The sequence below is a fragment of the Homo sapiens genome, chromosome 5 (assembly GCF_000001405.40).
Source record: "Homo sapiens chromosome 5, GRCh38.p14 Primary Assembly".
Classification (NCBI taxonomy): domain Eukaryota; kingdom Metazoa; phylum Chordata; class Mammalia; order Primates; family Hominidae; genus Homo; species Homo sapiens.
In genome coordinates, this window is record NC_000005.10 from 178,191,961 (window position 1) to 178,204,532 (window position 12,572).

The window sequence follows — 12,572 nt, forward strand, 5'->3', positions numbered from 1 at the left end:
AGCGATCCTCTGCCTCAGCCTCCCAAGTAGCTGGGATTACAGGCACATGCCACCACACCTGGCTAATTTTTTTGTATTTTTAGTAGAGATGGGGTTTCACCATGTTCAAGGCCAGGCTGGTCTTGAACTCCTGACCTCAAGTGATCTGCCTGCCTCAGCCTCCCAAAGTGCTGGGATTATAGGTGTGAGCCACTGCACTCAGCCTGATTTTTTTTTCAATGATTTAAAAATGTAAAAACCATTCTTTGTTCAGGGATCATATAAAATCAAGCAGTAAGCAAAATTTGGGCTATGGGCCATAGTTTGCCAACTCCTGGTCTAGATCTGCCCTGTTCATCATAGTAGCCACTGGCTACATGCAGCTATTGAGTACTTGAAATGTGGCCAGGGACAGTCACGATGGCTCACACCTGTAATCTCAGCACTTTTGGAGGTTAACGTGGGAGGATGGCTTGAACCCAGCAGTTTCAAGTTACAGCAAACTATGATTGCAACACTGCATCCCAAACCTGGGTGACAGGGAAAGAAAGAAAAAGAGAGAGAGAGAGGGAGGGAGAGAGAGAGAGAGAAGGAGGAGGAGGAGGAGGAGAAAGAGAGAAAAGAAAGAAAGAGAAAGAAAGAAGAAAAAGAAAGAAGAAAGAAAATAAGAAATAAGAAAGGAAGAAAAAAGAAAGAGGGAGGGAGAAAGGGAGGAAGGAAGGGAAGGGAGGGAGGAAAAGAAAAAGAAGTGTGGCTGTACTGAATTAAAATATGCTTAGGTGTAAAATACACACTAGATTTTGAAGACAGTACAAAAAGAAAATATCCCAATAACTTTTTGTTGATTATATTTTGGATATCTCAGAATAAGTAAAATATATTATTGAAATTAACTTCACCCCCCCCCCTTTTTTTTTTTACTTTTTTTTACTTTGTCTTAGTCCACTTTCTGTTGTTCGAATATCTGAGACTGGATAATTTTTAAAGAAAAGAGGTTTATTTAGCTCACGGTTCTGCAGGCTGGGAAGTTCCAGATTGGACGGCTGCATCTGGCAGCTTCTGGTGAGAGCTGTGTGCTGCACCAAAATGTGGCAGAGAAATGGAAGGCGGACCAGGCACCTGGAGGAAAGGGGGAAAACACGAGGGGCGACCTTGCTTGATGACAACCCAACTCTGAAGGTAACTGATCCAGACCCAAGAGAGTGAGAACTCACTTCTATGGGACTTGCATTAATATCCTGTCGTGAAGGCCCATCCCTCATGATCCAAACACCCCTGAAAGGTCCCCCCACGTCTCAATGCCGTTATATTGGCAATTAAATTTCAACATGAGTTTTGGTAGGGGCAAACCACATCCAAACCATAGCATCTTCTCACTGTTGAGTCACTTTTTAATGTGGCTATTAGAAAAATTTAAATGACATGTGTGTTTGCACTTGTGGCTGTTTTGCATCCGTATCTGGTATACAGTGCTGCTCTAGTAGTGAAGGTGGAGCGCCCCGAGTGAGATGACCCCGATTTGCCTCGGGGGGAAGTGGAAGGGCGTGGCCTGGTGTTCAGCAGTGGAGTGTGGGATCACGGAGGGACAGCTGGATCTCATTAAGGTGAAGTGGAGGGGCAGGGTTCACGGAGGCACACACTGAGGAAGCTTCTGCAGCAGTGAGTTGAGGGAGTGGTTAGGCTTTGTGGGTAGGGGACTGAGCTGTTTGAGGGTATCTGTAAGAGGCTGTGCAGCAAGGCAGGTGGCAAGAAGCAAGATGTTGGCTGGGCATGGTGGCACATGCCTGTAATCCCAGCACTTTGGGAGGCCAAGGCAGGAGGATTGCTTGAGGCTGGGAGTTTGAGACCAGCCTGATCAACATAGTGAGACCACGTCTCTATAAAAAATAAATCAATAAATAAAATTTAAAAAGCAAGATGTTGCCAAGCAGTTGGCCAAGTGGTGAGTATGAAAGAGAGAGACCCTGCCCTGAGGGCTTTCTGTCTCTCACCCACCTGGATCAGCACACAGCATGTATTTGTCTTCCACTCCAAGCCTACATCCTGGCCCCTGTTGGAGAAGGGCTCTGACCAGTTCACTGGCAGAATATGAAAATTGTATGTTAAGACATGCACGGCATGAAGCCCTAAGAAGCCAAGAATCCTTTCTTTTCACAGCAGGAGAAGGCCTCTGGCTGTTTCCCTGTGTTGACTGGAGGCTGAGTCTCTGTCCTCGACACCCCACCCGCTGCTGCCTCCTCTGCCCTGCCTGGGGAGCCCTGCCTTGCCTGGCCCTGTGCTGGGAACGGCCAGAGCTGGGGCTTCTTGCGTTTCCTGTTCACACCCGCAGAGCCAGCTTTGCCTTCCCCTCTGCTGTGCAGGGAGAAGGGAGGTGGGAGGTGCGGAGGGGATGGTCCTGTCTGTGGCTTCCTATTTCTTGGCTGGCAGGAGAAAGGCAGGCTTTCTGTGTCTATGTCTCTGTGGTCTTTCAGACTCAGCACTTGGGTAGGAAGATGAAAACCTCGGAGTGCCCCTTGTCTCTTTCCCTTGGGTCTGATTAGACCAAAGGCTGGTGTGGTGGAGGAGGTGAAAGGACCTGGCACGGGGAGGCTGGAAGCCCAGCGCTGCTCTGCTCACTTTCCCCTCTGCCAGCCTTTGTTACCAAAAGGTCTGGACTTGATCTTGGAAATGCATCATTTCTTGATCCTTCTCTAGCCTTTAGGGACAAATATACTAGAAGAAAATGGTCAAGACAATTGGTGCCACCAGCAGGAGGCATAGCAAGGAAGCAGGGGGTGAAAGGGTTTCTCCTTGAGAGAAGCAAGCCTCTGAGTCCAAGGCCCTCCACCAAGCGGCTCTGGTCCAGTGTTCCAGCCTTATTGCCCATCCTGCTCCATGTATGGAGTTGGGGGTTGTCACCACACACAAACACAACGTTCTGCCAACTCACCCTCCTCGATGTCTCTGTTCATCCCCTCCTTCCCATTTCCTCCACTGGACCACCGCCATAGCAGTATTCACTGACTTCCAGTTTCCTGCGGGATAAATCTGAACCCTTTGTCGTGGCACCCAAAGCCCTTGCCCAGCCGCGCTGTCCCAGCTCCTCTTCATCGTGTGGAGCAACTTGCAGTTCTCCAAGCAGCCTCTGCTTTCTCAAGCTTGGAACCTGAGCTGTGTCGTCTTCTCTGCCTGCACCCCTTCTTTTCCATCTCTGCTGGAGAACCCCTGCTTAGCCTCAGTAAAGATGTTTAAGGGACAGTTATGCATGAGGGTTTAGAGTTCACAGACCCAGTCTGTCCTGGAGGTCAAGGGCATGTTGCTGGCAATTGCAGCGTCAACAATTCAATTGAGTAAATACATGAGTGAATAGATGAATTGTTGTGGAATCAGAAACTGAGGCTCGGCCGGGCACGGTGGCTCACGCCTGTAGTCTCAGCACTTTGGGAGGCCGAGGCGGGCGAATCACGAGGTCAGGAGATTGAGACCATCCTGGCTAACACGGTGAAACCCCATCTCTACCAAAAAAAATACAAAAAGTTAGCTGGGCATGGTGGCGGGTGCCTGTAGTTCCAGCTACTCCGGAGGCTGAGGCAGGGGAATGGTGTGAACCCAGCAGGCGGAGCTTGCAGTGAGCCGAGATTGCACCACTGCACTCCAGCCTGGGCGACAGAGTGAGAGTCTGTCTCAAAAAAAAAAAAAAAAAAAAAGAAACTGAGGCTCAATCTGGGCACGGTGGCTCATGCCTATAATTCCAGCACTTTGGGAGGCTGGGGTGGGTGGATCACGTGAGGTCAGGAGTTTGAGACCAGCCTGGCCAACATGGCGAAACCCCGTCTCTACTAAAAATACAAGAATTAGCTGGGCATGGTGGCGGGCGCATGTAATCCCAGCTACTAGGGAGGCTGAGGCAGGAGAATCGCTTGAACTTGGGAGATGGAGGTTGCAGTGAGCCGAGATCACACCATTGCAATCCAGCCTGGGCCAGAGAGTAAGACCCTGTCTAAAAAAAAAAAAAAAAAAGAAAGAAAAAAAGAAACTGAGGCTCAAAGAAAGAGCCCGCAGGTCCACACTGACCTAGTGGCAATGCAGACATAAACATAAACAAAGCCTCTTTTAGGAGCCACTGCTGCCTCTCAGAGGGAGACAGAAATTTCCCGGTTTAATAGGCTTTCTCCCCACCTAATCTGCAGTAGTGAGTCCTAAAATCTGTCCCTGTCCCAATGACTGGTGCCTAGAATGCTTCATAAAAGTGAGAGTCCAGCCCCAGAGGTCAGGGAGTCTGAAGTTTCAAAGACTACACAGGGGATAATGTTGCAGATGAGGCCGGGCCCCTGTGTGAGCTGTGCCCACTGTGTGCAGCTTTGTGAGCTCTCCAGGAAACTGGGAGGATTAGGGTTTTGTATGTGAATCACATACTTCATTAAGGACTGATTCCAGTATAGGGCTCTAGCCATTTCTGATTGGTTTCTGATGGACAGAGGCTGCCTCTGAGACTCAGCAGGGCGTGGGGTGGCTGTGGCAAGAATGTGTGATTTTAGGGAGGCCGCCAGCAGATTCTCTCTCCAGATCTCTTACTTGTCTGTTTCAAGGATTTGACTTGAGATGTATTTTGAGATATATTGTTGCGGGGTGGCTGGGGGCCTGGGGGTGTCAGCAGGCAAAGGAATGTTCCCTTGGATGCTTCCACTGTTGCTGTTAGCAGTCACAGCAGCTCTCACAGCGGGCGCTGTTCTAAACCCTTAGCAGCCGTCCTCCCATAGCCCTGCAGGATGGTGGAGAGACAGGTGCCATTCTCTTTTTTTTTAAGATGAAGTAGGTCGGGAGCTGTGGCTCATGCCTGTAATCCCAGCCCTTTGGGAAGTTAAGGCAGGCAGATGGCTTGAGCCCAGGAGTTTGAGACTAGCCTGGGCAACACAGGGAGACCCTGTCCCTAGCTAAATAAATAAATAAGCTGGGTGTGGTGGTGCATGCCTGTAGTCCCAGCTAAGTGGGAGGCTGAGACGGGAGGATCACTTGAGCCCAGGAGGTCGAGGCGAGCCGTGATCACATCACTGCACTCAGAGCAAGACCCTGTCTCAGAAAAAATGTAAAAAAAGATGAAGAAGCTGAACTTCATGGAGGTCTGCTTAGGGATCCACATCTCAGATGCTCTTGGTCAATGTCAATAGGTTTAGTGGGACCCTGGAGGAAGACATTAGAACATGGTGGGGGCTGGGTTTAGCTGGACAGTGCCTGCCTCATCCGCTGGGGGTCACTGTGACTCAGCTCCCACTGATTCTGGACACAGGACACTGTGGCCCAGTGTGACCTTAGCTGACAATTTTTCAAAAGTAACTGGACGTATAACCTTGTGTAGAAATGCCATCATCCGGCAGGGCGCGGTGGCTCACACCTGTAATCCTAGCACTTTGGGAGGCTGAGGCGGGTGGATCACGAGGTCAGGAGTTCGAGATCTGCCTGGCCAACATGAGGAAACCCTTTCTCTACTAGAAATACAAAAATTAGCGTGGTGGTGCATGCTTGTAATCCCAGCTACTTGGGAAGCTAAGGCACAAGAATCGCTTGAACCCAGGAGGTGAAGGTTGTAGTGAGCCAAGATCATGCCACTGCACTCCAGCCTGGGCGACACAGTGAGACTCCATCTAAAAAATATACATATATGTGTATATATATGTGTGTGTGTATATATATGTATATACATGTATATATATACGTATATATGTGTACATATATACGCATATATATGTATATATTATATATATACATATATACACATATATACACATATACACATATATACGTATATATACACACACATATATATGTGTATGTGTGTATATGTATATATGAAAGAAATGTCATAATCCATAAATGTTGGCAAACAATTTTTTCAAATGAGCCAAACACTGTGTAGGACTGGGTGAGGTGGTGTGCAATTTTAGTCTCAGCTGCTAGGGAGGTTGAAGCGGGAGGATCACTTGAGGCCAGTAGTTTGAGGCTACACTGAGCTGCAATCACGCAGGTGAATAGTGACTGCACTCCAGCCTGGGCGACACAGTGAGACCTCATCTCAAAAACAAAAACAGAACAAAGCACTGTACAGGGCAAGCAAGTAGGTTCAAGAGTCAACTTTAGTCCACAAGGTGCTGGTTTGAAACAGTATTAGTCTGTTTTCACATTGCTATAAGGAAATACCTGAGACTTGGTAATTTATAAAGGAAAGAGGTTTAATTGACTCAGTTCCGCATGGTGGGGAGGCCTCAGGAAACTTACAATCATGGCGGAAGGCACCTCTTCACAGGGCAGCAGGAGAGAGAATGAGTGCCAGCAGGGGAAATGCCAGATGCTTATAAAACCATCAGATCTCGTGAGTACTCACTATCACTAGAACAGCATGGGGGAAACCGCCCCCACGATTCGATTACCTCCCACCAGGTCCCTCCAATGACACATGGGGATTATGGGGATTACAATTCAGGATGAGATTTGGGGCTGGGCGAAGTGGCTTACGCCTGTAATCCCAGCACTTTGGGAGGCCGAACTCCAGAGGTCAGGAGTTTGCGAGCAGCCTGGCCAACACAGTGAAACCCTGTCTCTACTAAAAGTACAAAATTAGCCAGGTGTGGTGGCGCACACCTGCAATCCCAGCTACTCGGGAGACTGAGGCATGAGAATTGCTTGAACCCAGGGGGCAGAGGTTGCAGTGAGCTGAGATCATGCCACTGCACTCCAGCCTGGGCAACAGAGCGAGACTCTGTCTCAAAAAAAAAAAAAAAAAAAAAGATCTCGTATTCATTCTGCAGGCACTGGCGTGCCCACCGTAGGAGTCAGGGTGGAGGAGACAGACCCGATGCAGGGTCTCAGGGCGCTCACAGTCAATGTCAACAGTGTGGCCCATGTTCTGAGGGGCACCCTTCCTCGGGGTATGACACAACACTTCCCATAGGAGGAGGAGGAAGTCTGTTGGATGTTGTGTTTGGTTTCTGGGGCTGCTGTGATCAAGTGCCGCAACCCGGTGGCTTACAGCAACCCAGCTGTATTCTCTCACAGTTCTTGAGGCTGGAAGTCTAAAATCAAGCTGTCAGCAGGGCCCGTGCTCCCTCTGAAGGCTTCAAGGGAGGATCTTTGCCCCGCTCCTAGTTTCCGGTGTTGCCAGCAATCCTCAGTGCTTCTTGGCCTATAGATGCATCACTGCAATCTCTGCCTCCGTGGTCATGTGGCATTTTTCCCGTGTGTCTGTCTTTCCCCCTCCAAAGTTCACCAGTCATACAGGATTAAAGGCCCACCCTACTCCCATATGGGCCTTTAATCCTCATACTCCAGTTTGACCTCATCTTAACTTGATTCCACCTGAAAAGACTATTTCCAAGTATGGCCACATTCAGAGGCACCAGGAGTTAGGATTTGAACGTAACTTTTTTTTTGTTTTTGAGACGGAGTCTCACTCTGTCGCCCAGGCTGGAGTGCAGTGGCATGATCTTGGCTCACTGCAAGCTCCACCTCCCGGGTTCACGCCATTCTCCTGCCTCAGCCTCCTGAGTAGCTGGGACTACAGGTGCCCACCACCACGCCTGGCTAATTTTTTGTATTTTTAGTAGAGACGGGGTTTCACTGTTAGCCAGGATGGTCTCGATCTCCTGACCTCGTGATCCGCCCACCTCGGCCTCCCAAAATGCTGGGATTACAGGAGTAAGCCACCATGCCCGGCTGTGAACATGTCTTTTGCGGGGGCACACAATTCAACTCCCAATGTGTACAGTAGTTAGGTGACATTTGGGAAGACTGTTCCAGGTAGAGAAAACAGCAGGTGAAAAGGCCCAAAGGCAGGAGGGCACTGGTGAGTTCTAGGAAGTAAAAGAAATTCAGCACAGCTGGAGTGGAGAGTGGCAAGGAGGTGCAGCTGAGGCGACTCATGCTGGACCTTATAGGCCAGGTGGGAGGGTGAGAGTAGGCCAGGCTACAGTTTGAGAGAAAAAAAAAATCCCAAATCTCAGTGCCAGGCCCAGTACAGGTTCATTTTCAGCTTGTGTCAAATCTGATGTGGGCCGAACAGCTCTTCTCCATGAGGTAGCTCAGCCGTGTAGAACACATGGTCGCGGGGTGAAGGGAAGTCTGGACAAGGCCCCCAGTCTCCATGGCCCCAGCCTGAAAGGAACTCTTCCACTCACAGACCACACAGCAGGGGAGGCTGGCAAGGTGGGGGCACAGATTTCTGGGAGCCCCAACTGTCTGTCCCACTCGTATTCACCCGAAGTCAAGGCTAAGACTTCATCCTGACAGCACTGGGAAGTCAGCCAGGGTTTTCACACAGAGGTAGTGACAAGATGGGACTTGCATTTTCAGTTTTTCCTTTTTTCACTGTAGCTCTCAGATCTTATGACTTGTGTTTTAGAAAGATTCATCTGGCTAGAGGACTCCTCTGAAGCAGGGGAGCTGGAGTTTGGTGGAGCGGGGAAAGTGGCTGCAGCGGGAGTTGGCCACAGCAGAGGCACGATATATTTGTAGTTAACTCATGCAACTTCCACCTTGCAGGCTCAGCCAAAAAACCGAAAAAAAGAATGTGAGAAAAATCAATTCATGTAATTAAAAAACAATCCAAAAGCATTTTGTGTATGTCCTTTCCTAGATTGGAGATTGTCCACATTTTATGCATATATTCTGAATAGCCCAAACCCAGGGAGTGTATACTCTATGGGCCTTTTAAGAGATTTTCAGGGGTAACTGAGCTCCTGGCTGACTTGAGAACCTCACTGTCATGGAATTGCCCTCTACTCAGGGTCTGTAACTGAACCTAATAACAAAAGTAGGGAGGCTTGTGTCAAAAGGACTTCCTGCTGTTTCCCAAACAGTGTGGTGCCTTGCCTCTGGCAGAAACACCCTTGGATACAATATGAAGGCTTTATTTATTTATTTATGTAATTTCATTTTTTTGAGACAGAGTCTGGCTCTGTCCCCCAGGCTGGAGTGCAGTGGCACGATCTCGGCTCACTGCAAGCTCTGCCTCCCGGGTTCACACCATTCTCCTGCCTCAGCCTCCCGAGTAGCTGGGACTACAGGCGCCCCCCCACCACGCCCGGCTAATTTTTGTATTTTTAGTAAAGACAGGGTTTCACCGTGTTAGCCAGGATGGTCTCGATCCGCCTGCCTCGGCCTCCCAAAGTGCTGGGATTACAGGCGTGAGCCACCGCACCCGGCCCGGCATTTTTTATTTTTTGCTGAGACTGACCCCTACCTGCCTGCAGTTCTTTCTAGTTTATGAAGTGTTTTCTAAGCCATTACCTTATTTGAGCTTCAGGATTCTTTATTTATTTATTTATTTATTTTGAGACAGAGTCTCGCTGTGTCACTTAGCCTGGAGTGTAGTGGTGCGATCTCGGCTCGATGCAACCTCCATCTCCCAGGTTCGAGTGATTCTTGTGCCTCAGCCTCCCGAGCAGGGGGGACTACAGGCCTGGGCCACCATGCCCAGACTTTTTTTTGTATTTTTAGTAGAGATGGGGGTTCCACCATGTTGCTCAGGCTGGTCTCAAACTCCTGGCCTCATGGGATTCTCCTGCCTTGGCTTACCAAAGTGGTGGGATTACGGGCGTGAGCCACCACGCCCAGCTGAGCCTCAGAATAAATTAGATCTTTGATAGGAGATCTAATTTACATCAAGGAACTCAGAAGCTCAGACACACCTTGTCCCACAGTAGCCAGGAGCCCTGGAAACAATCCCCAATGTGGAGTTGGACGTGTTGGTTTCATGGCCACAGTTTTAGCTGTGGTTTCAGTATTCTTGTGTATAAAATATGGGTAACTGCACAAAGCTATTTTGAAGCTCCAGTAAAGCAAGGTTGGTGAAAGCATTTTGCAAACTGCTAAGCGCTGTCCAAATGTTGTATCCTCAGACTTTACACGTCACTGAAAGTGTTTCTGAGTCGTGCTAAAGAAATCCACGTGGAAGATTAAGGGAATTTATGCCTGCAGTAATGTCTTTGGGCTGCACCTACACTATTTGACTTTGAACTTAATTTCCTGAATTACCTTCACTGCTTGGGGAGCTGTGCCCATCATCTCCTGCAGGCCACAGCCCTGGCCCTCATTTCTGTGGGTTGGCAAGGGCTGGGGTGGAGGTGGGGTGAGCAGTTTGTTAGAGACCGCCCTGAAAGCCTTGCTGCCAGATCTCAGTGACATGAGTAAGGTCGTGTGGAAATATGTGACTTCCTGTTATGGAATTAGCCTGGGACAGTGAAGAGTGGCCTTGGGGTGAACCAGAGGGCACTTGCCCACCTGGGTATGGGTATCCCAGCTGCACTTGATTGTTACTTTGGGGGAAGGCAGTACAGTGTGAGCTAAATCTTCGGACTTTCCTAGAGAAGCCTGAAATCCACGTATCTTCATTTTTCATTCTCAGGGCAACTCCAGTGCCTGGGTGGAGTTAGTGCCTGAGTTGGTTGTGTAGCTTTGGGCCGCTGCTCTTGACTTCAGTTTTCTCATTTAAAATTGGTGATCCACCTGAGATCAGGAGTTCAAGACCAGCCTGGTCAACATGGTAAAACCCCATCTCTACTAAAAATACAAAAATTAGCCCGGCATGGTGGAACACACCTGCAATCCCAGCTACTCAGGAGGCTGAGGCAGGAGAATCGCTAGAACCTGGGAGGTGGAGGTTGCTGTGAGCTGAGATGGCTCCACTGTACTCCAGCCTGGGCGACAGAGCGAGACCCCCGTCTCAAAGAAAAAAAAAACCTGGTGATCTAGCTGGGCAACATAGGGAGACCCTGTGTTTACAAAAAATTCGCTTGGCGTGGTGGCCACGTTTCTGGTTCCAGCTACTTGGGAGGCTGAGGCAGGAGGCTCATTTGAGCCCGGGAGGTTGAAGCTGCAGTAAGCCGTGATCGTGCCACTGGACTCCAGCCTGGGTTACAGAACAAAACCTTGTGTCAAAAAATAAAATAAATAAAATTGGTGACCATACCACCTTACTTTGGTTGTTAAGATACAGAAGAGAAAATGGAATGCCCAGCCCACCACACTGGTCCTGGCTGCAGGAATCCACTGGAAACGCTAGTTCCTTGTGTTCTGGGTTGCTATTTGGTAACCTGCAGGCTCCAGAGGTTGTAATCCTGCTTGCCTTGGGGCCCACCACCCATATGATTAAAAGGAATAACGGGATTACCGAGGCCTTTAAAATTTTGTGGTCAAGGAGATAATATAAAGGAGTTTTGTGTATTAGGAAGAGAACAACGCCCCCACCCTGTCCTTTACCTCGTGAGTTCACGAGTGGTGTATTTGTTTTGTTTTGTTTTTGAGACGATGTCTCGCTCTGTCGCCCAGGCTGGAGTGCAGTGGCGAGATCTCGGCTCACTGCAAGCTCCGCCTCCCGGGTTCACGCCATTCTCCTGCCTCAGCCTCCCGGTAACTGGGACTACAGGCGCCCACCACCACGCCCGGCTAATTTTTTTGTATTTTTAGTAGAGACGGGGTTTCACCATGTTCGCCAGGATGGTCTCGATCTCCTGACCTCGTGATCCGCCCGCCTGGACCTCCCAAAGTGCTGGGAGTACAGGCGGGAGCCACCGCGCCCGGCCTCCGTATTTGTTTAAAAAAAAAAAAAAAAAAAAAAAGGCCGGGCGCGGTGGCTCACGCCTGTAATCCCAGTACTTTGGGAGGCCCAGGCGGGCGGATCACGAGGTCAGGAGATCGAGACCATCCTGGCCAACATGGTGAAACCCCGTCTCTACTAAAAAAACAAAAAAATTAGCCGGGCGTGGTGGCGCATGCCTGTAATCCCAGCTACTCGGGAGGCTGAGACAGGAGAATCGCTTGAACCCGGGAGGCGGAGGTTGCGGTGAGCCGAGATCGCGCCATTGCACTCCAGTCTGGGCGACAAGAGCAAGACTCCATCAAAAAAAAAAAAATAATAAAAAGGAAGAAAAAGAAAGACAAATGATTTACAGGAAAAAATTTAAGTAAACAAAAGTACAAATGCGATGTCAATCGTTCAGGTGGTGCCAGGGGACAGAGAACCGGGGAACACCAAGGTCTCATCGTCCCTGCAGAGCATCTCTGGGGGAGGCGACGGACAGGGCGCGAGCGCGGGGCTTGGAGGGCACCAAGGTCCAGGGGGATGGCGGGTTCAGTCCCAATCCCTCCGACCCGTGCTGAGGGCCTTGGAGGACCCCACTCGCCCAACCTCGGAAGCCCGGGTTCTGCCACTTCCAGCCACGCGTCCTTGGGCTGCGAAACTTTCTCCAGCCCAGTTTCCTCTTTTGGGACATGGGGAGGCGGAGGCTGCCAATGCTGGGATGGAGTCCTCGAGAGCAAGAGACCAGCGGCCTCGACGAGCTTACAATCCGATTAGGCCCTCCCACCGATGTGCTGTAGCTGCCCGCCGCCCTGGACCCGGCGCCGTCCCGCCCGGCTTCGGGAGCCCTCCGTAGCGGCCGGACTCGCGCGCGTTCTAAAATGAGGACAAAGCCCGCCCAGGTCTAGAGCGCGCGCGCCGTGGCGGCCAATGGGACGCTGAAGCTAGGTTGAGTGACGGACTTGAGCAGCCAATGAGTGTGCAGTTTGTTGCGATGTGGCACCCGGCTCCGGCATTATAAAGGGCGCCACGAGTCGGCATTGTC

The 12,572-nt window shown here is 50.1% G+C and overlaps 1 annotated feature.

Moving 5' to 3' along the window:
* Positions 12,387-12,456: a silencer, noted in NCBI's record as "silent region_16714". NCBI's record gives its function as "represses an Ori minimal core promoter by ATAC-STARR-seq in GM12878 lymphoblastoid cells {active_cell/tissue: GM12878}" and the evidence as "EXISTENCE:reporter gene assay evidence [ECO:0000049][PMID:35858748]".